The sequence below is a fragment of the Homo sapiens genome, chromosome 6, assembly GCF_000001405.40.
Source record: "Homo sapiens chromosome 6, GRCh38.p14 Primary Assembly".
In the NCBI taxonomy this organism is placed as follows: Eukaryota; Metazoa; Chordata; class Mammalia; order Primates; family Hominidae; genus Homo; species Homo sapiens.
This window is the reverse complement of record NC_000006.12, coordinates 143,668,323-143,694,024: the sequence shown is the minus strand read 5'-3', so window position 1 is coordinate 143,694,024 and position 25,702 is coordinate 143,668,323. Positions and strand designations below refer to the sequence as shown.

The 25,702-nt window shown below is 38.8% G+C and overlaps 1 protein-coding gene across 8 annotated transcripts in view, besides 3 other annotated features; it reads right to left on the bottom strand.

The window, feature by feature from the left end:
• The window catches only part of PHACTR2 (phosphatase and actin regulator 2), a 294,308-nt gene that overhangs the window by 137,161 nt on the left and 131,445 nt on the right, over window positions 1–25,702 (bottom strand). For 3 of the 8 annotated variants that reach the window (NR_172205.1, NM_001100164.2, NM_001100165.2), the window contains exon 1: window positions 15,816–16,060. The exons of the other annotated variants lie outside the window; for them this stretch is intronic. Coding sequence is in view for 2 of the 3 variants with exons in the window: in NM_001100164.2 (NP_001093634.1) it covers window positions 15,816–15,861 (46 nt within the window). In the remaining variant the exon portion in view is untranslated. Of the gene's footprint in view, window positions 1–15,815; window positions 16,061–25,702 lie in introns of those variants that run through there. 8 annotated transcript variants of the gene reach the window in all.
• Window positions 15,819–16,118: a silencer, noted in NCBI's record as "silent region_17631". NCBI's record gives its function as "represses an Ori minimal core promoter by ATAC-STARR-seq in GM12878 lymphoblastoid cells {active_cell/tissue: GM12878}" and the evidence as "EXISTENCE:reporter gene assay evidence [ECO:0000049][PMID:35858748]".
• Window positions 15,819–16,716: a biological region, named in NCBI's record as "NANOG-H3K27ac hESC enhancer GRCh37_chr6:143998446-143999294".
• Window positions 15,868–16,716: an enhancer, noted in NCBI's record as "NANOG-H3K27ac hESC enhancer chr6:143998446-143999294 (GRCh37/hg19 assembly coordinates)". NCBI's record gives its function as "activates a minimal SCP1, AML or CMV promoter by ChIP-STARR-seq in naive and primed H9 embryonic stem cells {active_cell/tissue: H9 hESC(naive and primed)}" and the evidence as "EXISTENCE:reporter gene assay evidence [ECO:0000049][PMID:30033119]".

The following is a 25,702-nucleotide window of genomic DNA, read 5'->3' as shown; positions in this document are numbered from 1 at the left end:
TGATCAAGGATCACCACAGGCTTGATCTCCTGGGTTCGGGTGATCCTCCCATCTTGGACTCTTGGGTATCTGGGACTAGAGGTGCACACCACCACACCCACATAATTTTTTCTGTTCTTTGTATAGACGGGTTTCGCCACATTGCCCAGGCTGGTCATGAACACATATTCCATTTTCTAAATTTACCCCATATGCTCTACAGCCTATGCTTTACTTCCTAAGTGTACTGCCTAGTCACACTGGTTAATTTCCATTGCTGAAAATCACCTTCAATGCCTCCTCTTACTCAAGTAATATGAATATGGCACTGTTGAGGTGAGTGGGGAAGAGGCCTTAATTGGTTAAGAAATGAAACTCAAAAATCAGAAAAAAGACAATGGATGCAGTGTGCTTTGGGACATTGCTAATAAGTCCTGGTTTGTACATTGGTTTTAGGGACATTGCTTAAAGTCCTTAAATGGCCTATTTAAAAAATACAGAAAAAAGGGGCTGGGCACGGTGGCTCATGCCTGTAATCCCAGCACTTTGGGAGGCCAAGGCAGGTGGATCACCTGAGGTCAGGATTTCGAGACCAGCCTGGCCAACAGGGCGAAACCCCGTCTCTACTAAAAATACAAAAATTAGCCAGGTGTGGTGGTGCGTGCCTGTAGTCCCAGCTACTTGGGAGGCTGAGGCAGGAGAACCGCTGGAACCTGGGAAGTGGAGGTTGCAGTGAGCCAAGATCACACCACTGCACTCCAGCCTGGGTGATGGAGTAAGACTCCGTCTCAAAAAAATAAAAACAAAACAAAAACAAAAAAAGGACACTACTATGGGCTGAATTGTGTCCCTCAAAATTCATACGTTAAAGTCTTAACTCCCAGTACCTCAACATGGGACCATATTTGAATACAGGTCCTTTAAAAAAGTAAAATTAAGGTAAAATGAGGTCATATGGGTGGGCCCTACTCCAATGGGGTTCTTATAAGAGGAAAATATTTGAGCACAGATGTGTGTGGGCACAGAGGATGGACCATATGAGGACACAGAGGGAAGGCAGACATCTACAAGTTAAAGACAGAGGCTCTGAGCAGAAGCTAACCCTGCTGACACCTTGATCTTAGACCTCTAGCCTCCAGAACAGTGAGGAAATACATTTCTGTTGTTGCAGCCACTCAGTCTGTGGTATGGTGTTACGACAGCCTTAGCAGACGAATACTGTACAGACATTTACTATTATCTGCAAAGTTATTTATTAACATGTCGAAGGTAAAGTGAAAATGTCACACAGCTTTCAACCTCACCTCCACCTCAGCCCACTTGAAAGAAGGAAAAAGAAAAGTTCTTTGAAGGATTTTGCTATGATTACTTTATAATGGCTTCCTAAATTAAAACATTCTTGTTTGGAAAATGAGGTATACGTGTGTTCTGACATTCTGTGGTTGGATGACTGAAGGGGATTCAGTTTTTTAAAAGTGTACAGTTCTAAATTCTTCTAAAAATCTCATGTTTGATTTTATTCTTTTCATGTTTTCTTTAAAAAATTGGCAGTCAAGTACTTTCCAAGCGACAGAACATTAGATGTATACAATTCTGGTTTAGAGGCCTTTAGGAAAATGAAACAGCGCAGTCAGGCCAACAGGAACCCACGGCATGAGCTCAGTTAACTTGTTCTGGTTTATTCCAAGTTTCCATTCTCACCCGGCTCTTTCATAAACAGGTTGGCAGGTCAACACAAGCTAACTTTACAGATGCAGAAGAAATTTTGAAAAACACAAAATCCCTTTATAATAGATGAAATTGATCAGTGCAATCCTGAATCATCCCTTTAGACTGCCCTCCCCAGTCCTGTGAGCCACCCAGCTGTTGTCAGAAACATCTTTATACAAGAAGGAAGGTCAGAGGGAATGCTCAGCACACCCTGAAACACCTTAGGCAACGAACAGTGGCCTTCCATAGGGAGGCTGAAAAATTCTTTAGAAAAAGCTTTTAAGAGACCCCAATTAAGACTGAATGGAATTTACTTCACAGTGGGCAATGGGCTGCAAATAGGCACACAATTGAAAGGAAAGGATGCCTGAAGTACAAACAGAGGCGAAAATAAAAAGCCAAACATTATCCAAGACAGAATGCATGAACAGAAGTCTTAAATAAATGATTGCTTCCTTTTGGAATTTTCAGAATTTGCCGCCTACAGTTCTAAAAGGGAAAAGGGCTCAGCCTCCTTTTCAGAAATGTATTTTACAAAAATCTTTCTTATAGTTCTTCCTTCTCATTATTAAACAGCTATTTTCATCTAGTGCCCTGTTCTTTGACTTTGGTTTTGGGTTAAGTAATTAGTATGCAGCAACCCCAGATGAAGTTCACAGAGGTCTTCTTGAAAAGGCAACGAGTTGAAATTCTGTGGTCTTTTCCTAAACAGTAATTGGCATTCTGCTGATAACTTCCTTGCCTTCGAATGTAACTATATATTTACTTCAAACCTAGTTGTTGTGGGAAATGCATCATTTTGCTGCTTATAATATTAACAAAATGTACATAAAAGCAAACAGGTTTCTGGCAATAATATTCCATCAGAATCTCAACATTCTACTTGACAATAGGAATATTTGCTCATGAACAGTAAATATGAATGACCCAATTCATCCCGGCATTTGTGTACAGAACATCTGAGTCTCTGAACTGGATATTTTGTAACTTTTGCCTCAAGTAAAGAGAAAGACACACATAAAGATTCAAATGAGAATTTTTTTTTTTTAATTTAAATACAGAAGGTCCCTGACTTACCATGGTTTGACTTACTATTTTTGTTTACTTTATGATGGGCTTATCAAGATGTAATCCCATCATAAGTTGAGGACCATCTGTACAGTACCACTAACCTATAATTTGTTTTCCAGAAGATGTTTCTCACCTTAGGAATCCTCTGGAATGTTTGTTGAGAACACAGACTCTGAGACCCCTCTCCAAAAGACTTTGATTTTGCTGACCTATAATATGGGACCCAGCAATCAGTATTTTGCACACTAGGTGAGTTTCACAATTGGGCACTTTTGTGAAATATCAATGGTAGTTTGTAATACCCCCAGGATCCTATCAGAACGAGCATCCCATAAAGATGACGCATCCCTAAAATAAAAACACAGAAAAATACAGGAATACCACAATTATTCAATGTAGATCTTAAATGTGAGTCTTCTTAAAAAATGCCAGCACATTATTATCACAGTAAACACATTTTTAAATTAGTCTATGTACCACAAAACTTTTAAACGTCCATAAAATATTTTTTAGACCATTGCAACAAGCCAGGTCAAAGTTGAGATCTTGTGTGACCATCACCCAAGAAAGTCTTTTGAAATCAGTTAAAAGCTATCTGCTAAAGAGAAAAACTAAGTCTTCCAGATAAAAGGAAAACGTTCATCCTGATTAATTGGGAGGGATGGCAGTGTTTGTGCATACTGCAGCAAGTCTGCTTTGCTACCTTATGTCCCAGCCAAGCTCTCGACCAAGCATGAAGCCAGAATAAAGCCACGTTCTAATACAAAGACTCAAAAACCATACACCCCGTGAGCTTTTCTCAAGAAGCACCCTGTGTGCTCTGCCAAAATAAGGAAATAGACCCAGAAAAAAAAAGGGGGCATGGGATCCAGCAATCTGAAGATTCAATGCAAGAGGAAAGTGGAAGGAATCCCCCTGGTGTGATGAAGAGAGATCCCAAGACAACAGCTGGACAGTGGGCTCAGAGAAAATCCAGTCCACATGGGAAGAGGACAAAGGCTATGTATGAAGCTCTTAAAGATGAACCTGTAAGAATAACTCGAGTATTTGAACATATTGAGAAGCGATTCGTTAAATACATAACAAGAGAAAGTGTGGGGATGGTATGTAGGACACTTAGCAAGCTAACAAAAACACCAGTAGGAAAAACAAAAGGTATGCAGGAGAGAAAAAGAAATCGTGGTTTACCACAAGCCTTAGCTATCGTTGGCATTTCTGCTATTACATGGATGACTGATAAAATCAAAAACACAATATAAGAATGTTGGGGCTGGGCACAGTGGCTCACACGGGTAATCCCAGCATTTTGGGAGCTGAGGTGGGTGTATCACCTGAGTTCAGAAGTTCAAGACCAGATTGCCAAGACCAGCCTGGCGAAACCCTGTCGCTACTAAAAATACAAAAATTAGCCGGGCGTGGTGGCAGGTGCCTGTAATCCCAGCTAATCGGGAGGCTGAGGCAGGAGAATCACTTGAACCCAGGAGCCGGAGGTTGCAGTGAGCTGAAATCAGGCCACTGCACTCCAGCCTGGGCAACAGAGCGACACTCCATCTCAAAAAAAAAAAAAAGACTTGAGAAGATGAGAAAATGGGAAAATGGGAAATAATAGGAAATGTATGATTCTGAAATGGGGAGAGGCAGGGGTTGGGGTAGGGTAAAAAAGAGAACTACGTGTTCGGTTTCCATACTGTGAGCTCAGTAGATAATGTGTCATGCTGAAAAATCAATCAATAGGTAGCAAAGAGCATGCTATTTAGAGACTGGAGAATTAAAGAATCAGTTTAAACAACTCCACATTTCTTAGATGCCCCTGAACTTTCTACTCAGTTCCCACTACTCTACTAATGTATGACCTGGCCAAACAGAGCTATTCATTTATTTGACAAATAGTTTTGGTGTCAGGCATATACCTAGGAATAAGAAGAGACATTGGTGAACAAGACAGATAACGTCTTTTAGATCATGGAGCTTATGTTCTAGAAAAGAGAGACAATGAATAAAACAAACAAACAAGATCATCTGAGTGCTAAGTGCAGTGAAGGCACAGAGAGCTGTGGGTGGGACCTGGGTGGGTTATTCTGGAGAGGGGTAGGCAGGGAAGGTCTCTATGAAGCACAAGGATCCAGCCGAAACAAGGAGTCAGCTTGGCGAAGAGCGAAGGGAAGAGTGTCTCAAACAGGGTGCAGCAACGGCCAAGGTCCATGGGTGGGACTGATCCAGGCTTGTTTGAGGACTGAAAAAGGCAGTGAGGGGACCAGAGCAAAGTGATGGAAGATGAGGTCAGAGAGGTGGGCAGGGATCATATAGGCTCATGTAGAGCCTCGAGGGCCATACTATGCAATCTGGATTTCATTCCAAGTGCAGTGGGAGGACAGGAAGGTTTTGAGTGAGTGAGTGACATGATTTATGCTTTAAGAAATTACTTTAGCTGTTCTGTGGAAAATGAATTGCAGAAGGGTGGGAACAGAAGCAGGAGAGCAGCTGGAATCTACTGCAGTTGTCCATGTAATGGATGGCCCCAGAGCTTGGACGGTGGCAGTAGGGACAGACGGAAGAGCATGGACTTGAGATATATTTGGGAAGAGAAAAGGACAAGACCTGCTGATGGATCCATATGGAGGGGGAAAGGAAAACTTAAGAATAACTCCTAGATCTTGGGCTAGAATAAGTGAGTGGTTGGGGTATCATTTGGTGAAATGTAGAAAGTCAAGGGAAGAACTGGCTTGGAGGACAAAATCAAACCTTCTGTATAGACTTATGTTACCTCTGGGATGCCCACAAGTTTTCAAGCAGACCTGTCAAATAGGGAGTTGCACATTTGAGCCTGCAGTGCAGAGAAAGGTCAGAGTTGCAGACACAAACTGGGTAACTCTGGGAGTTGAGAGTTGGGTGAGACCCTACTCCCATTTCTCTACCCACCCCTCACCCCAGATCAGGCATCCACTTCACCTTGCTGGATTATTCCAGCCTACTTCTTGGTCCCACTTTCAGTCTCTCCCCATGAAATCTATACTGCATGCGGCAGGCCAACTCATCTCCGGAGGCAAAGCAATAATCATTTCTCTGGTTTGATTTAAAAAAAAAAAAGCGTCAGTGGTTCCCATTGCCTGTGGCTTTCAGTATTGCCTTCCACCCCTTTCCTTTTCAGAGCCTGAATTCTTGTCCCCATTATGTGTTTTGCCTCCTGATCTAGTCCTACAATTCTCTACATATCCCTTCCCTTCCACTCTCATTTCTGCACATTTTCACTAAGCATCTTCTAGACTGGACGCTTTGTGGGCAGGGTCTGTGTAGGATTTATCTTTGAAACTTCCCACCTTGCTTAGCATAACACCTTACACATAATAACTTTAATTTAGGAACTGTTTGCTGCATGAAGGTGCCACTCTTCTCCTTCTTAATATCCCCTCATAAAACAGGCTGATTTGTAGGACTATACCTGCCAAGCACATACCAGCACAGCTTTCCAGGATATTCTTAAGCAAAATAGCACTTCAGTCCTTCCTTGGCAGCCAAATTTCCTTAGTGTTAAGGGCTGCAGTGTTTTACTTGCCAGAAGGTTGATGTGAATAAAAACATCCAGCCCCTTGAAATGAAAATAAATGGAGGGATGGTTTATAAATATAAATGATAATGGTTAGACCGACCTTTTAGCAAGTAATGTGATTTGCCCATTCCTTTCCGCATTTCTGTAGTTTTGGTTTTTGTTCCCCTGCTTTTGTGGGGAGGAAACAAGAAGTGTTTATTTTCTTAAGACTATTTCTATCCTTAATATCACTTTTGCATCAGTTGAGTCTTCACTAAATATTAATATTTTCTCCCAAGAATAGAGACTAGCAGTTAACCTGCTACAGTAAAGTCCCCAAAGAAAAGATGTTGGAATTTTCCCTCTATTCAAATTAAATAGGCTTAATTGTAAGACCAATTCTTACAATTCTTGTTTCCTTCCCCACTGCATTAAGAAGGCAAGAGGTGACGTGTGACTTGCTCATTAGTCATTATGTTTTCAGACTGCTAAAAATAAAATAAATTTATTATTTTCTATTTCAGACTGCTAAAAATAAAATTAAAATATTTGGGATATTAGTCACTGACCAAATCTGATGAGCTATGGACCAAAGAGAAGTAGGTGATGTTGAAATTTTGCTCACATTCTTTCTCTCAAAGTAAGAGACATTCACATTATTATCGAACAGACTAAAAAAACAATTAAACCTAAAAAGAAGGTGGCTATATTGGGACCAATGTTTTCATTTTCATCACTGACAAAGGAAAAAAAAGTAGCTGAAAACCAGCCACTGAGCTTAAAGCTCAGAATCCACGCAGCTGGAGAAAAGCTAGTACAGTTGCAGGTGAGCTCATGACTTTAATTACGGTCAAGGTCCAGGTGGACAGTGGATATGGAAACCTTGGGTTCGATCATGTCCAAAGCAGGGGAAAGCCATGACTGTCACACTAACTCTTCAAGAATGAAGTTCCTGGGTGGGCGCAGTGGCTCACACCTGTAATCCCAGCACTTTGGGAGGCCGAGGCAGGTGGATCACGAGGTCAGGAGTTCGAGACGAGCCTGGCCAACATGATGAAATCTCATCTCTATTAAAATACAAAAATTAGCTGGGCATGGTGGCTCACGCCTGTAATTCCAGCTACCTGGGAGGCTGAGGCAGGAGAATCACTTGAAACCAGAAGGTGGAGGTTGCAGTGAGCCGAGATCATGCCACTGCACTCCAGCCTAGGTAAAAGAGCGAGACTCTGTCTCAAAAAAAAAAAAAAAAAAAAAAAAGAATGAAGTTCCTCTCCTCTATGTGTGTGTACATATAAATTTTTCTTTACATATTTTAAAAATGGAATCATATTACTTCATAACCTGCCTTTTCACATGTTGATGTTATTTATCATAAAAATTGCCTTTTAAAAATATTTTTACATCATTTTTAAATGGCTTATTCTACCACATGTCTATCTCAATCAATTCAACAAGTCTCTTGATGCTTGACTATTAAGTTAATTCCAATTTTTGGCTTTTGTAAAAATTGTTTTTATGAGCAATTAATTATTTCTTTTACAATATACTTCTATGAGCAGAACTACTGGGTCTAAGTGTAGTCTAAGTGCACTTTTTTTTTTTTTTTTGAGACAGAATCTCACTCTGTCGTCCAGGCTGGAGTACAATGGTGCAATCTTGGCTCACTACAACCTTCGCCTCCCGAGTTCAAGCAATTCTCCTGTCTCAGCCTCTCAAGTAGCTGAGATTACGGGCGCCCGCCACCACACCTGGCTAATTTCTATATTTTTAATAGAGACGGGGTTTCACCATTTTGTTCAGACTAGTCTCAAACTCCTGACCCCAGGTGATCCACCTGCCTTGGCTTCCCAAAGTGCTGGGATTACAGGTGTGAGCCACCACGCCCGGCCTAAGTGCACATTTTATGACTTAATATATATTGCCAAACTGCTTTTCTGATAAGTTGTACCAATTTAAATTACCACAAAACAATTGTCTTTTGGGAATTACTCATTTTAATCTTTGCTAAACTCATAGGTGATCAGTTGCATCCCTTTTTTTTTTTTTTTTTCATTTAATTGCTTAAACCTTATTTCATTTACCAAGTGATCACTTATGTTCTTCTTTGGTCAGGTAACATAGGCAAGTTTCTTAGCTCTCGTACTTTGGTTTTCCTCATTTATAAAATGGGGATATTAATATTAGTTACCCCGGATGAACGTCATAAGTTTTAAAAAGTTAATTCAAGTAAAGCACTTAGAGTAGTTCCTGGCCCATAGTGAGTTCACAATTGTAACCATTAGGTATTTTGGAAAATGCCTGTTCATGTTGTTTACTTGTTTTCCTATGTGGTTGCTTATCTTTTTGTTACTGACTTTTAAGAGGTCTTACTACATTAATGATATTAACTATTATTTTCCATATATAATTAAATATTTCTTTCAACTTTATGATTTTCCTTTTCAACTTTCTGATGTTAATTTTTTTTGGCCATGTAAAAGTTTAAAAATTTTATACTATTAAATCTATTCATCTTAAGCTAGAATAAATTACAGAGATCAAATATTCAAAACATGAGAAAAATAGCAGAGGAAAGCATTTTTGAAATAGCCCTAGTCTGTAAGAAAGAAAACGACTAATCAACTTGACTTAAAAATTTAAAGGTTTCTATAAAAAAGTACTATAAACAAACTTAAGGTACAAGAAAAAAATTTTTAATGTTAAAATATATGATAGACATTAGGTTAATCTCCTGAATATACAAATTTGTAAGAAACCATAAAAATAAGGAAAGTCTATAAATAGGCAATTCAAAGAAAAAGAAATATAAATGTCCTACATCACTCATAATCAAAATAAGATGCCATTTTTTACATATAGATTTACAAAGAGTCTAAAAAATTATTTATGCACAGCATTGTGGTCATGTACAGTTGTGTAGAGTGTTGACTGCAGAAGGACACATAGGTAAGAGAATGAGTGGGAATTAAATACATGCTAAAGTTCCACTTGTTAAGTCTGTGCTGTGGAGCTAGCTGCCTCACCCAGAGGAAGTGACTTCTAATTCTCACGAGGCTATGGGCTAAGAGTGACCCTGATATTCAGTGGTGGTGACAGAGTACAGAAACAGAAATTCTCATATAATAAGCAGATAACACTGAGAAAGCCTCTTTGAGAATAATGTAGCAAAGTCTATCAAAATAAAACACACAAATCTTTTGACCTAGCAACTCTACTGCTAATATGTCATTAGGACATGTAGTTTATAGTTGTCCATGTAATGGATGGCCTCAGAGCTTGGATAGTGGCAGTAGGGACAGACAGAAGAGCATGGACTTGAGATATATTTGGGAAGAAAAAAGAACAAGACCTGCTGATGGATCCATGTGGAGGGGGAAAGGAAAACCTAAGAATAACTCCTAGATCTTGGGCTAGAATAAGTGAGTGGTTGGGGTATCATTTGGTGAAATGTAGAAAGTCAAGGGAAGAACTGGCTTGGAGGACAAAATCAAACCTTCCATTAGATCCATGTTACCTCTGGGATGCCCAGCAAGTTTTCAAGCAGACCTGTCAAATAGGGAGTTGCATATTTGAGCCTGGAGTGCAGAGAGAGGTCATAGATATGGATGTTCATTTCAGTATTGTTCATAAGAGCATATACATATGCAAAGAACCCAGGAACAATATTAAAATACAACAGGATTCTTTTAAAGGAAGTTTTCATATATCCACATACTATAATAGTGTTCATTTATAGAATTAAAGAGAACAAGTTGGAAGTATTTTCAAGTTATATTACACGAAAAATTCAAAGTATAGAGCAGTAAGTATAGTATGTCTTGTTTGACTGCTGATAAAGATATATCTATGAATGAAAACTGTGTGGAATGAAAAAAACTGTTCATGCTGGGTTATAGATGAAAAGTGGGACTGGAGGATTCTGGGAGGGAGTAAATTCATTTTTATCCCAAACCATCTTGTAATGTTTGACTTCCTACCATGTATATATTATGGAATAAAGAAAACAAACTCCATCAGCTTTTGCCTTTAGGACCTCTTCCTGTGCCTGGTTTACAAGGAAATGGATAAATATTCTGGACAAGACAAATACAGGGCCCTGAACAAAACTTGGAAACCCAGAGACACAGATGAATACAGGTTCTATCACAACATAGGTGTGATCCTGCACACTTTATTTACTTGTTCTCTTGTCTCTTAAAAATGGGGACAGTGGCATTGTCTGCCCTTTCAACCCAAGGATTGAGGAGAAGCAGCCAAGTGCTGATCTGTGGCACCGTGAAAATGGGGTGGGGTTGGAAAAAACTAGAAGAAATAATTACTAGATTCAGATACCACCCTTCAGACAATAGAGCCAGAGTAATGTAATTCTTGGACTAAAAAAAGAATATAAAAAATACATACCTCTCATTCATATAATCATTGGTTTAAAGCAGTCAGGCTGCTTATTGAGACTATTTGTTGACTCATTCATATATTCATCAAAAATGTATTGTATCCAATCTACCATGCTCTACACTTCACAATGAAATACTAGAAGTCTCAATCCTCCTAGGGCATGATGCCAGAGGGTACCGAAACCATCCTATTTGAGGGCATATCGTTTTAGCCTGTACTTAGAAATAATGGATCCAATTCTCAGTAAAATACTTTTGTAAACCTAACCCAGCAACATACAAAAAGGATTATACACATTACCCAAGTGGGATTTATCCTAGGAATGCAAGGTTGGTTTAACAACCAAAAATCAATTAACGTAACATGACAAATGAATAGGATAAAGGACAAAAACCATATGATCACCTCAATAGAGGCAGGAAAAACCTTTGACAAAATTGAACAATCTTTCATGATAAAAACACTGACAAAGTAGGAATAGCAGAGAACTTTTTGACAAAGTGAACCTATGAAGAAACCCATAGCTAATAGCACAGTTAATGGTAAAAAAAAACAAAAAACAAAAAACAAAAAAACAACTTTTTTTGTTAGATCAGGAACAAGACAAAAATGCTCACAACTGCCACTTCTACTTAACATTGGACTAAAGGTTCTAGCCAGAACTATTAAGTAAGAAAAAAATAAAATAAAAGGCATTCAACTCTAAAAGGAGGAATTAAAATGTTGTTTCTTTGCACATGTAAATAGATCTTGTATATAGTATGATCATGTATATAGAAAATCATAAGGAATCCACTGAAAAACTACTAGGACTAAAAAATGAGTTCAGGCCAGGCATGGTGGCTCATGCCTATAATCCCTGCAATATTGGAAGGCCCAGGTGGGTGGATCTCTTGAGATCTCGAATTTGAGACCAGCCTGGGCAACACAGAAAACCCCATCTCTACCAACAATACAAAGTAGCTGGGCATGGTGGTGGGCACCAGTGGTCCCAGCTGCTCAGGAGGCTGAGGTTGGAGGATCGCTTGAGCCCAGAAGGTTGAGGGTGCAGTGGATAAGCCATGATCGCACCACTGCACTACACTGAAAACTACAAAACATGGTGAAAAGAAAGAAGATACAAAGAAATGGAAAGGCATCTATGTTCATGGATTAGAAGACTTCATATTGTTAAGACAGCAGTACTACCCAAATTGATCTACAGGTTCAATATCATTGCTATCAAAACTCTAATTGGCTTTTTTGCAGAAATTGACAGGTTGATTGCAAAATTCATATGAAAATGTAAGGGAACCAGAATAACCAGTAGAAACTTTTAAAGGAACAAAATTGAAAAACTCATACTTCTAGGTTTCAAAATTTACTACAAAGCTACAGTAATCTAGACATTGTGGTAACTGGCATAAGAAGAGACAATGGAGCAGAATTGAGAATCCAGAAGTAAACCCTTATGTACACAGTCAATCAATTTTTGGCAACGGTGGAACACCATTCAATGGGGAAAGAACGGTCATTTCAACAAATGGTGCTGGAACAATTGGATATTCACATGTAAAAGAATGAAACCCTACATGACGCCATACATAAAAATTAACTCAAAATGTATTACTGACCTAAATGTAACAGCCAAAATTATAAAACGCTTGGAAGAAAACACAGGTGTAAGTCTTCTTGCCTTGGTTAGGCTGTAGTTCTCAGATGTGATACCAAAAACACAAACAACAAAAGAAAAAAATTGATAAACTGCTCATCATCAAAACTTTAAAATTCTGAGCTGCAAATCACTCTACCAAGATGAAAAGACAACCCAGAGAATGGCAGAAAATATTTGCAAATCATGTACCTGACAAGGGATTTGGATCTAGTATACAAAGAACTAAAACTCCAACAGAAGTCAAATTATCCAACTAAAATTAGGCAAAGGATCTGAAGACATTTTTTCCAAAGAAGATATACAAATGGCCAATAGCACATGAAAAGATGCTCAAGGTCATTAGTAATTAGGGAAAAGGAAATCAAAACCATGAGATATAACTTCACACCTACTAAGATGGCTATAATCAAAAAGACAGTAACAAATGTTGGTAAGGATGTGGAGAAACTGTAACTTTCATACACTGCTGGTGGGAATGTAAAATGGTCTAACTTCTTTGGAAACTGTTTGGCAACACCATAAAAGGTTAAACATAGAACTACCTACCATATAATCTAGCAATTCCACTACTAAATATATACCTGAGAAATGAAAACATATCTTCACAACAACTTGTACATTAAGTTCAGAGCAGCATTATTCATAAATAGCCCAAAGCAGAAATAACCCAAATGTCCATCAACTGATAAATGGATAAATAAAATGTGGCATATTCATACAGTAGAATATTATTTGGCAATAAAAAGAAATGAACAACTGATACATGCTACAACATGGATGACCCTTGAAAACATTATGCTAACTGAAAGAAGCCAGTCACAAAATGACACATTATGATTCCATTGACATGAAATGTTCTCAATAAGAAAATCTATAGAGACAGAAAAGTTGATTAGTGTTTCATTAAGGTAGAGCCCACTGGTTGAATAGGGTGGGAACAGAGATTGAGGGTCACACAACACTGTGAACACACTGAAAAACAATGAACTGTACACTTTCCATGGGTGAATTTTATAGTATGTGAATTATACATCAATACAGCTGTTCTTTTTAATAATGGATCTAACTGCATATTTTCAGAAAAAATTATTAATGGTCTTCCTAGAACCCAGAGAATTAGGTGCAACCTAAACTGAAAGGCTCTAGAGAGCCTAAAGTCAAAACGGGGAAAGCAAGCTAACTTCTAGCCTATAATGAAGATTTTTACAAAAGGCCAAATTGAGCGATAAGTATGAATAATTAAACTCTGTGCTATTGATTCCTTTGACTTAAACAGATTTTCGCCCACTAAGCATTTAAGATGAGAATCATCTTTAATACTGTAATCCTAAGCAGCTGCTCCAGACTTAAACAACTAGTCAATGGCTAAGATCAAACAGAACAAGGATCTTCACGCCATCTGTAAAGCCAGAGTTAAACAGTTAACAAGGAGTGAACAAAATACCTGGAATAGTAGAGAGTTTGACAGTCTCAGACTCAGAAAAATACAGACATGAATATAAAACTCAGCAAACGTTATTTAATTTAAATTTTTTTTTTTTTGGTTTTCATTTGGAATCTGATGGCAAACCTTCAGGGAAACAGGGTAGCTCTAACGGATTTAGAGACACTGGATACCACGAGAAAACTGTTCTTTTACAATACCACAACTTAAGTCATAACCACTGTCATTCCTTAACTGAAAAATAAAAAACCCTGTATTTATGATGTATGGATTGGTCATTTCAATTCATACAAACTTTTAATCCGCAAAACTGAGGACCTGCAATTTAAGTATAACACCGTTCCGTGAGATATTTCTCTGAATTATCTTTCATGATCAAGCATAAATTTTTGTTTAAAACACTTTTTACTTAAGTAGATTACAGTTTCTCATTATAATCAGTCATTTTATTTGGAATTATAGCAATCCGGGTTTTTTTGCTGTACTAAGACGTAGGGAGTCTCACTTTAGGATTTTATTTGCTTCTTAGACATCATTTATATAATATTCCTTGATTTTTATTAAGGCAAAATTTGCTTTTCTAATATTCACTCGAGTAATATTTTGTGATAAAATCACTAAATTCAGGACAATACTTTCTGTATACTCTTGTATTGGAGTACAGATTTAATTCTATCTTCGCCGGTGCACAAATGTAAAAATATAACCCTTCCTTGAAATGAAAAGAAGTCTCACACCACTTTAAGGTAAGACAAAGGAAACCAAGTCTTATTTGCACAAAATAGTTTACTAAATTTAAAATCCTACTCAACCCCTCCCCGCAAATATCTCTCAAAAAGCTGTCAACATGAGGTCTTTGATTTCAGAGCTGTAGCCATGTCATTAATGGTAAAGAAGGTATATTCTGATTCTGATGTCTCTTCTTTGCAGAAGGGTCTTCTGTGGTATTAACAGAAACCTCAGCAAAGCTTGTGGTATCTCAGGGAGTGAAGCTGTGCTACCTAAAGAAACCCACTGGGTATAAAGTGGGGTGGGGGGTTGGAATGACAGAATGCTATCTAGCTAGACATCCTGAGGCAGATTAAAAAACCTTCCTCTGTACCCTGTCATTTCCTTTCAGCAAGATCCTGTTGATGTTTGCACAATTTAAAAAGTGTATCAAATATCTCAATGAGTAACATAAACGGTCCCTTCGAGTATTATTTATTTTTAATCGTTGATGGAAAAATATCAAAATAGTACCTTTTAAATTTATTTCCTTATCCAATCACAAGTAACACCACCAAACAGTTTTTTTTTTTTTTATCCCTACACTGTCGGGGAAATGCCAGACGTACCTTCCTTCCCTCTTTTTGTTTAAGAAAATGGAAAAAAGAAACTTTTAAAACAGAGCATTAGAACTCAGACACGTTACACACGTCTCCATAAAACTAACTTTAGTCCTGGAGAACTAAGTTCATGAGATATGTTTCCCTAAATGTTATAGCTGCTGTATCTACTATAAACAAAACAAGTCTCATTTGAAACAATTACGCATTTCGGGGCTAGTTATTAAGTATTCAGCGTCTGCCAGGATAAGGCGATCAGCGCTTCTACTCCGAATAACAAACCATAAATCAGTTGACAAGCTTGAAAGCATTCAGTCCTAGTCTGTTCGGAAGCCAAGCGTAAATACAGAAAAACCTGTTGGCATGTTTCTCTTGCTCTCTAAGTTTCGCGTTTTTAAAAACACTGTAATACGCAAATGGCGTTTCCCGTAAGTTTCTGGCTCCGAAATAATTTGGATAAAAAACCACAGCGAGGCATCGCGCACAGAAAAATGGAGCCTGTGCCTTTAAGGTAAAATCGGCTGGATCCCAAAAGGCATTCCTCTTTCACGACAAAGAGTTTGGCGAGCGCTACCTCTGGGGTTTCTCCGAGGGACTTGGCGGGTCCGAGCGGAACCCGACCAGACGACTAACCCTGCCTGCCCCGGGGCCCCGCCGCCAGCCCTGCGCCCGCGCGGCGGGAGCGCATCGCGTGCGCCCCGGACTCACCGCTGCCGGGCTGCGGGGACAGCGTGGACACCGAGGTCTGGCCCATGACTGGGGTCGCAGGGCCAGGTCCAGCGATCAAGCGGCTCCTTTGGTCCTTCGATCATGGGTCCGCTCCCAGCCAGACTTCCAGGCGTTCATGTCCCGGCCTGTGCCGAGCGGCCCGCCGGGTCCCCTCACCTTCTACCCCGCGCGGGTCTCCCAGCCCGGCCGGCCGCAGCCGGCGCGGCGGATCCTGCCCAGCGGATGCCTGTCATTCCTCTATGCAGATTAGCTGGGGTCAGGGGTCACGGGGGAAGAAGGGGGGTGAGGGCGATAGGGAGGGGAGGAGGGGGAAGCGGGGGGAGGGCGCAGGAGCAGGGGGTGGGGGAAGCCCCCAGCCGGCCCCGCCGCACCCGCACCCCCTCAGGGTGGTAGGGAGTTCAGGCTTTCAGACTACTCCTCTTTGACTTAAAAGGTTCAAAGTCAAATGATCCTTACGGGCTACAAGAAAAGGAATTAAAGTATTTAGTCACGGTACTTAATTTAACAAAATTTGTTTCTTAAAAGTTATTTCCTTCCTTACATTCTATTTGCAGTATTGTGGCACTCTCATGTCTTGTGCCCATTTTTTTCTCGTTTTAAAAATTATCTTCCTTTTAACAAATATAATTTTTTAAAAACGGCACTAATGGCCTCAATCAGGCTTGACAACAAATCTAAATGGTAGGTCTACGTGTGAGATCAACAAAATATACTTTTTGCTGTCTCCCACCTAAAACTCTGGAGTGCTGACCTCTCCTTTATTTCAAAAGAATTACTGTGAAATAAAGTGATTAAAATACACAAAAGGGGAAAAAAACTATAACAAACTTGAAAGGTGAATTAAACCCTTCTATAATATCCTGTTAAATCTCAATCTTCTTAAAAATATGAATACAAATAAATATTCTTCATATTTACAGTTAATGATTAATTAGTATAAGTAATCTTCATGCTATATATATATAATGTGTGTATATATATATACAGTATATGGAACATCTGTATATGGTGCATTAGATTGGATGGTGGTTACTGGATGTGTTCATTTTATGAAAATTCATTGAGATGTCTGTAATGATGTGTGCACTTTGCTGAAGGCATATATTTCATTAAAATGTAAAAAATATCAGAAAGTGCAATATATTTAGGTCATTTACCACAGCTTTCATTTTTTAATTTATCCTAGACAATCAACTCTGAACTAACATGAAAATCATTTTTTTCTAAAATTTTTATTATTAAGATCGTGCAGAGCCTTGTTTGATTTTTTTGAAAGGCACTTACTTGTCTGTTTTGTCATGGTTAATTAAGTTGCCCTATGTTTTTTCACACCCAAATAGCCCACCCACCACTGTGAGGAAGATCTTTTCCCTAAAAAAGTGTGATCCATTGTCTTCTTCCCTTTGCCTAATTCACTCTTAAGAAACACTGATTTTTTTTTTTTTAATGAAATTGAGGATTTAACCAAAATGTGAGTTCTAATTAGGACAATAAAATTAATCCTAACTACATTTCCTTATAAATACAAAAATGTGTTTTGGAAACACATCCCACCTGGGGCGCTAAGCGATGAGAGTAAGCAATTATAATGGCTGGCTCCTCCAGCTCTTTGCTTTGAGTTGCCGTAAGAAAAAAACAAACAAACAAAAGTGGTTAAAGGTAAGTTAAGAGGGAGAATGTTTCACTCTTCCTTTTGACAGTCTTTCTGATAAAGGGAGGTCACTGATCAGAGGAAATATACAGTACCTTTTGCACATTCAAAATATGTAACTGTAATAATTTTTAAATACTGATAAAAGTTAAACTTTAAGGTTGCTATCATTTCTTCTTTTCCTTGAGAAACAATAGCATATTTCTATTACTTCTATAAATTCTTATTTCAAAGATCAAGGAGGTGCACTATAGTTCCAGTTTTTCAGGAATTGCTTAATACAGCTATATTTACCTTATTCAAGACCTTTCATGATTTGCTAGTTAATATAATCTTCAGCCTCATCTGGGATTCCTATAATACCCTAACCAGGTTATGCAATTTTCTCTGAAACTCTTCCAGTTCCATTACATTATCCTTGAAGCATGTCAACCAAAACTGCAGGAAGTGTGCACTAAGTTTTCTTTCTAAGAGTGGGACAGTTCTTGTTCTTGGTTTCTAGAGCTTCTGATGGAACTTGGCATTTAAGTGGCCTTTTTATCACAGCTAACAAGTTATACTAATGAACATAGAAAACGTCTACAGAAATCTCTAAATTTCATTTCTAGGTTGTAACGCAAAGGTTAGATATTATCACCTAACAAGAGAATTTTAAGATAATTTTCCCCCAAATTGCCTTACTCTTGCCTTATTAGAACTCACACAGTTTTACTAAGAGTTCTGGGTGTTAATCCCATGGGTTTATAGTTTAACTCTGGAAACATTTAATGTCATCTGAAAGGCATGGACATTTCTCTGTATACTACCTCTCTCTAGGGAATTTATTAAAATGCTAAACAGGATTAGACCCAATACCTAACTCTGAGGAAGCTATCTATTTATAATTCTTCAGCATTTATCCCATTGGTCCCACCCTTTGTTCTCTATTTCTAAACCAATCTCTTATCCAGTGATATCTTGGTAAATGCTTAACTGGTTTGGGCTGGGGGTGAGGAGGCAGGAGGGGGCCTCAGACTGCTTTGTTTACTGTGATGTAAATACTCCTACAATAACCTATTCTACAGGCCTTCAACCAGCTAGCAAAACTGATATCAAACAGCTTGCAAAATTCCTTGAAATGTAACAATTTGGCCCACCAGCCTGTGTGAACTGCCTTCAGCACACCGCTACTTTTCTCTGTTATAATAATGCCGCATCATATCATACCATGGCTGAGTTTGAGGAATAGCTTCTATTTAGCCTTCCTAAAAATATAGACTAATGGCATCTACTGATTTTTTCCATGGAACACTCTAAATATTTTTCAAGCTCTGAAAGAACTACTGTGATTTATTCATTTATTTCCAGAAAGAAACTAAAGAAAGTGAATTAGTGAGATAGAATTTCCCCTTCTGAAAGCCAGTGTGCCTTTATGACACAAAGTTGTACTTATCAGGTTTTCAAGCATTCTACCCTGTAACACAGACTTCACTGGCTTGTCTGATGTGGGAAGTCTTAGACTCACCCACCTGGGGTACCCAAAGTGACACTTGCACTCCTCCTGGATGGAAGCCACTATATCTATTAGGTTAAAGTTAAAGCGGACAAAAGCCTAAACATTGGCAATCTGGACCATTTGTGAGAAAGTTCTTTTCTAGGTCAAAGTCCAAATGGCAGACATACAACTTGGTGCCTTTAGAGAAGATGGTTTACAATTACTACAGTCACCACTACCAAATCCTATAACTTAGGTTACTGCCAGATTTTTCTAGGCAGCCAAATCTAGCCTGGAGCAGGAAGAAGAAGGAACCTTCCTCAGAACACAAATGCCATGAATACTAATCCTGGAGGTCTCTGCCTTGTCCAGATGCTGCCAGCTGTGTGAGGATTCATTTTGAGACACCAGATGTTAGGGGTGGAGGAATTATGATGGGAGGGAAGGGTTAGGCAGAGTCCCAAGAGATGAGATGGTTGATCAGAACAGCAGTGACCTGGGAGGCAACAGTGGTTGATAGTGGCCATATACAAGCAGATGAAGATTACATTAATTTACACCCTTATTTCTAGATTTGACCATAGACACCCTGTGAATTAGTGACATTTCCTTGGCTAATGGGAATTGTAGCAATAGAAAAATTATTTCTTAATGGGAAGGAAATGAATGAAAACTTAGCAGTTTTCCTAATAGTATACTAAAAACGATATGCAAAAGTTGTTTTAACTATTTGGGTAGTTTTTACTAGAAGATCTTCTGGTTTTTAAAAACTTTGTATGTCTTCAAAACTTGGCTACATTTTGTAAGAGTCAGCTTACTTAGAAAAATATAAAAAGCAAATGGGAGCTTTACTAGATAATATAAACTCAGTGAAAACTCTGTATATGTAACTAATGTTTACTTTGTAAAATGTTACTCTATGGTAAAGTTGCAACTAAATGGCTACTATATCTTAGATTTTAACAATTCTGAGAGATGCTGGTTTGAACAGGATAATGCTAACAGATAAAGGAAAACTTTTGTTAAGGAAAGAATTACAACTTTGCATATTCTAGTTATATTAAGCATCAGTAGAAGACCACATTCCACAAGTATTAGAACAGGAAACAAACCTGAAAGACAGGCTTTTCTTTCCTATTGTTCTCATATTTTCATGTGATTTATTTCCTGAGTTTTCCTTCTTCTGCTTGCTCAAGCTAAAAGGATTAACAAAATACCTTGCCTCTGCCTCACCCTGCGTGAGTCTCTGCAGAGGCGGGGTGTGGCTCACGTGTGCTTGCTTAGTGAGTGAGCCCCACAGTTGGAAGATTTATGCTGGAAAATAAAGACCTCAAGGGGTGGTGCTGGAATTTCCTTTTCCAAAGACATTCTCCCTACCCTGGGAGGAAAAGCGTCTGTAATTTTGCTCTACTTCATTTCATAAGCAAAACAAAGTACTCATCCATAGTATTAAAACTCTAAAAACTGCTATAAAATGAATAATCTTTAATTTATTGACCAAAATCTAAAGAGAACAGTCCTTAAAGACATCTTTTATATGACTGCCCAATTTACACAAAATAATTGCTTCCAGTAAGGCCCAAATCTTTGTTTTGTTAACCATCACATCCATCCCTAGAAACTAACAAAATTTGCCTGGCAAATAGAGGGTACTGAATACATAGATGATAAATTAAAAATAAGCATTTATGTTATCTCCTTAATGGTAACTTCCAAGTATGGACAAAAAAAAAAATCTGGGAATACATGTAAAATTTTGGTAATAATATAGAATGTTGACTCCATAGCAAGAGAATATCGAGTCTGTCTGTGACTGTAAATTTTCTTTTGTATGCCCCTCTGAAATAATCATCTACTCATTCACCTAGAATTGACTGAGGACTTCCCATGGGCGTGGTACCTCTAGCACATGGGCATAAGGATAAGTGAGGTATGGACTCTCCTGTGGCGGAGGTCATAGTATGGGTACGGTGGAGGGTGGGTGTTGCAGCCTACAAATACATGATCCTAACAGTGGAGGAAGAGAAGTTTGTTCCTCCAGCTGGGAGTGGTGACTCATGCCTGTAATCCCAGCACTTTGGGAGGCCGAGGTGGGCGGATCACCTGAGGTCAGGAGCTTGAGACCAGCCTGGCCAACATGGTGAAACCCTGTCTCTACTAAAAATACAAAAATTAGCCAGGCGTGGTGGTGCACTCCTGTAATCTCAGCTACTTGGGAGGCTGAGGCCGGAGAATCACTTGAACCTGGGAGGCGGAGGTTGCAATGAGCTGAGGTTGAGCCATTGCATTCCAGCCTGGGCAACAGAGTGAGACTCTGTCTCAAAAAGAAATAAATAAATAAAAATAAAAATAAAAAAGAAGAAGTTTGTTCCTCCAAGTGCTAGGGATGCCCAGTAGGTTAGTACAGAGAAGGCTCTGAACTTTAGCAAATTACTAAATCCACATTTTTGCCACACAGAGGTGCTCATTCATTCTGAAGGTGCCCTAAGATTGTGAAGTGCTTCCTGAATTAAAGAAAGATTAAATTCTAATAGTAGGTGGTCAGAATTAACTGTATTTGTTTGTTTATTGCTTGCAGCTTTTTTTGTTTGTTTTTTGTTTTTGAGACAGCGTCTTGCTCTGTGGCCCAGGCTGGAGTGCAGTGGTATAATCATTGCTTACTGTAGCCTTGAACTCCTGGGCTCAAGCAATCCTCCCACCTCAGCCTCCAGAGTAGCTGGGACTATGGGTGCCTGCCACCATGCCCAGCTAATTATTTGTAATTTTTTTTTTTTTTGTAGAGATAGGGTCTCACTATATTGCCCAGGCTTGCTTGCAGCTTTTTGAAGAATAAGTTATGGACCCTAAAATGTACCCATTTAAAGCAAACAGTTCAATAAGTTTTAATAAACATGTAGTCCAACCAACAGCACACTCAAGTGTCAGAAAACTTTGAGATCCCTAAGGTATTCCATCATGTCCTTTTGCAGTTAATTCCTGTTTCACATCCCTGTACCACCCTTGGCATTAGGGAACTGCCAACCTGCTTTCCATGTCCATACTTTTGATTTATCTAAAATTTCTTACAAATGGAATAATATTATGTACAGTTTTTTTTAATCTGGCTTGTTTCATATGTTTTTGATATTCATCCATGTTGCTCTGTGTATCTGTATTTTGTTCCTTTTTGTTCTAGGTTGCCTTCCATTGTATGGCTATACAAAAGTTTGTTTATCTGTTTACCAGTTAATGGGCATTTGGGATGTAACTGTATTTCACTGTATTCCTGCTCCATGAAAAGACTTTGGGTCTATATTGTGTTACATATATGCTAGTTCTATATTAATAATAACTCATTGATTGGTTCACCACTCAACAAATATTTATTATGCATCTCCTTTTTACCAGTCTTTGTTCTAGGTACTTAGGAGACAGAATTATACAAAATACAAAAACACCTGCACTCATAGAGCTTCCCTTCTAATGGAATGACAGAAAATAAGCAGTAAACATAATAAATCAGTAAACTTTATAACAATTTAGAAGATGAAAAGTGCTATGAAATTCAGAAGAGTAAGAGAGATTGGACTGGCATGTGGTGTTCACAGTTGTCCTCACTGAGAAGATAATGTTTAAGCAAAAACACAAAGGAGGTAATGGAGTTAACCATATGGCTATCTGGGGGAGAGGTGTTCCAAGAAGAAAGACCAGTTAATATAAAGACAGGAGCATGGCATATGTTTGAGGAATCCAGGGGAAATGGTGTGGTTGGAGTACATAGAATAAGAGAGGTAAAGATGAGGAGAAGGAGATTATAACCACATAGGACCTTGCAGTTAACTATAAAGACTTTGGGCCAGGTGCAGTGGTTCAGACCTGTAATCTCAGCACTTTGGGAGGCTGCTGAGGCAGGCGGATCATGATGTCAGGAGTTCAAGACCAGCCTGACCAACGTGGTGGAACCCCATCTCTACTAAAAATACAAAAATTAGCTGGGCATGGTGGCGCATTCCTGTAATCCCAGCTACTCGGGAGGCTGAGGCAGGAGAATTGCTTGAACCTGGAACTGGGAGGTGGAGGTTGCAGTGAGTCGAGATCGTGCCACTGTACTCCAGCCTGGGCTGCAGAGCGAGACTCCATTTCAAAAAAAAAAAAAGGCCTTGGCCTTCTTCTCCTCCAAAGAATCAGAACTCCTCGCCAGCAAGGGAACAAAAATGGATGGAGAATGAGTTTGATGAATTGATAGAAGTAGGCTTCAAAAGGTGGGTAATAAACTCCTCTGAGCTAAAGGAGCATGTTCTAACCCAATGCAAGGAAGCTAAGAACCTGGAAAAAAGGTTAGAGGAATTGCTAACTAGAATCACCAGTTTAGAGAAGAACATAAATGACCTGATGGAGCTCAAAAACACAGCACAAGAACTTCATGAAGATACACAAGTATCAATAGTCGAATTGATCAGGCAGAAGAAAGGATATCAGAGATTGAGGATCAACATAATGAAACAAAGCATGAAGACCAAGATTAGAAAAAAAAGAATAAAAGGGAATGAACAAAGCCTCCAAGAAATATAGGACTATGTGAAAAGACCAAACCTACGTTTGAATGGTCTACCTGAAAGTGACGGGGAGAGTGAAACCAAGTTGGAAAACACTCTTCAGGATATTATCCAGGGGAACTCTCCCAACCTAACAAGACACGCCAACATTCAAATTCGGGAAATACAGAGAACACCACAAAGACACTCCTCGAGAAGAGCAACCCCAAGACACATAATTATCAGATTCACTAGGGTTGAAATGAAGGGAAAATGTTAAGGGCAGCCAGAGAGAAAGGTTGGGTTACCCACAAAAAGAAGCCCATCAGACTAACAGCGGATCTCTCTGCATAAACCCTACAAGCCAGAGGACAGTGGGGGCCAATATTCAACATTCTTAAAAGAATTTTCAACCCAGAATTTCATATCCAACCAAACTAAGCTTCATAAGCAAAGGAGAAATAAAATCCTTTACAGACAAGCAAATGCTGAGAAATATCACTACCAGCCTGCCTTACAAGAGTTCCTGAAGGAAGTACTAAATATGGAAAGGAAAAACTGGTACCAGCCACTGCAAAAACATACCAAATTGTAAAGTCCATCGACACTATGAACAAACTGCATCAACTAACAGGCTATATAACTAGCTAGCATCATAATGACAGGATCAAATTCACACATAACAATATTAACCTTAAATGTAAACAGACTAAATGCCCCAATTAAAAGACACAGATTGGCAAGTTGGATAAAGAGCCAAGACTTATCAGTGTGCAAAGATACACATAGGCTCAAAATAAAGGGATGGAGGAATATTTACCAAGCAAATGGAAAGAAAGAAAAAAAAAAGCAGGGGTTGCAATCCTAGTCTCTGATAAAACAGACTTTAAACCAACAAAGATCAAAAGAGACAAAGAAGGCCATTACATAATGGTAAAGGGATCGATGCAACAAGAAGAATTAACTATCCTAAATATATATGCACAAAATATAGGAGCACCCTGATTTATAAAGCAAGTTCTTAGAGACCTACAAAGAGACTTAGACTCCCATGCAATAATAGTGGGAGACTTTAACACCCCACTGTCAATATTGGACAGATCAACGAGACAGAATATTAACAAGGATATTCAGGACTTGAACTCAGCTCTGGACAAAGCAGACCTAATAGATATCTGCAGAACTCTACACCCCAAATCAGCAGAATATACATTCTTCTCAGCACCACATTGCACCTATTCTAAAATTGACCACATAATTGGAAGTAAAACACTCCTCAGCAAATGTAAAAGAACAGAAATCACAACAAACTGTCTCTCAGAACACAGTGCAATCAAATTAGAACTCAGGATTAAGAAACTTACTCAAAACCGCACAACTACATGGAAACTGAACAACCTGCTCCTGAATGACTACTGGGTAAATAACGAAATTAAGGCAGAAATAAATAAGTTATTTGAAACCAATGAGAAAAAAAGACACAACACACCAGAATCTCTGGGACACAGCTAAAGCAGTGTGTAGAGGGAAATTTATAGCACTAAATGCCTACAGGAGAAAGCAGGAAAGATCTAAAATCGACACCCTAACATCACAATTAAAAGAACTAGAGAAGCAAGAGCAAACAAATTCAAAAGCTAGCAGAAAACAAGAAATAACTAAGACCAGAGCAGAACTGAAGGAGAAAGATAAATGAAAAACCCTTCAAAAAATAAATGAATCCAGGAGCTGGTTTTTTGAAAAGATTAACAAAATAGACCACTACCAGACTAATAAAGAAGAGAAGAGAGAAGAATCAAATAGACACGATAAAAAATGATAAAGGGGATATTACCACTGATCCTACAGAAATACGAACTACTATCAGAGAATACTATAAACACCTCTATCCAAATAAACTAGAAAATCTGGAAGAAATAGATAAATTCCTGTACACATACATCCTCCCAAGACTAAACCAGGAAGAAGTCGAATCCCTGAATAGACCAATAACAAGTTCTGAAATAGAGGCAGTAATTAATAGCCTACCAACCAAAAAACAGCCCAGGACCAGACAGATTCAGAGCCGAATTCTACCAGAGGTACAGAGAGGAGCTGGTACCATTCCTTATGAAATTATTCCAAACAATAGAAAAAGAGGGACTCCTCCCTAACTCATTTTATGAGGCCAACATCATCCTGATACCAAAACCTGGCAGAGACACCACAAAAAAAGAAAATTTCAGGC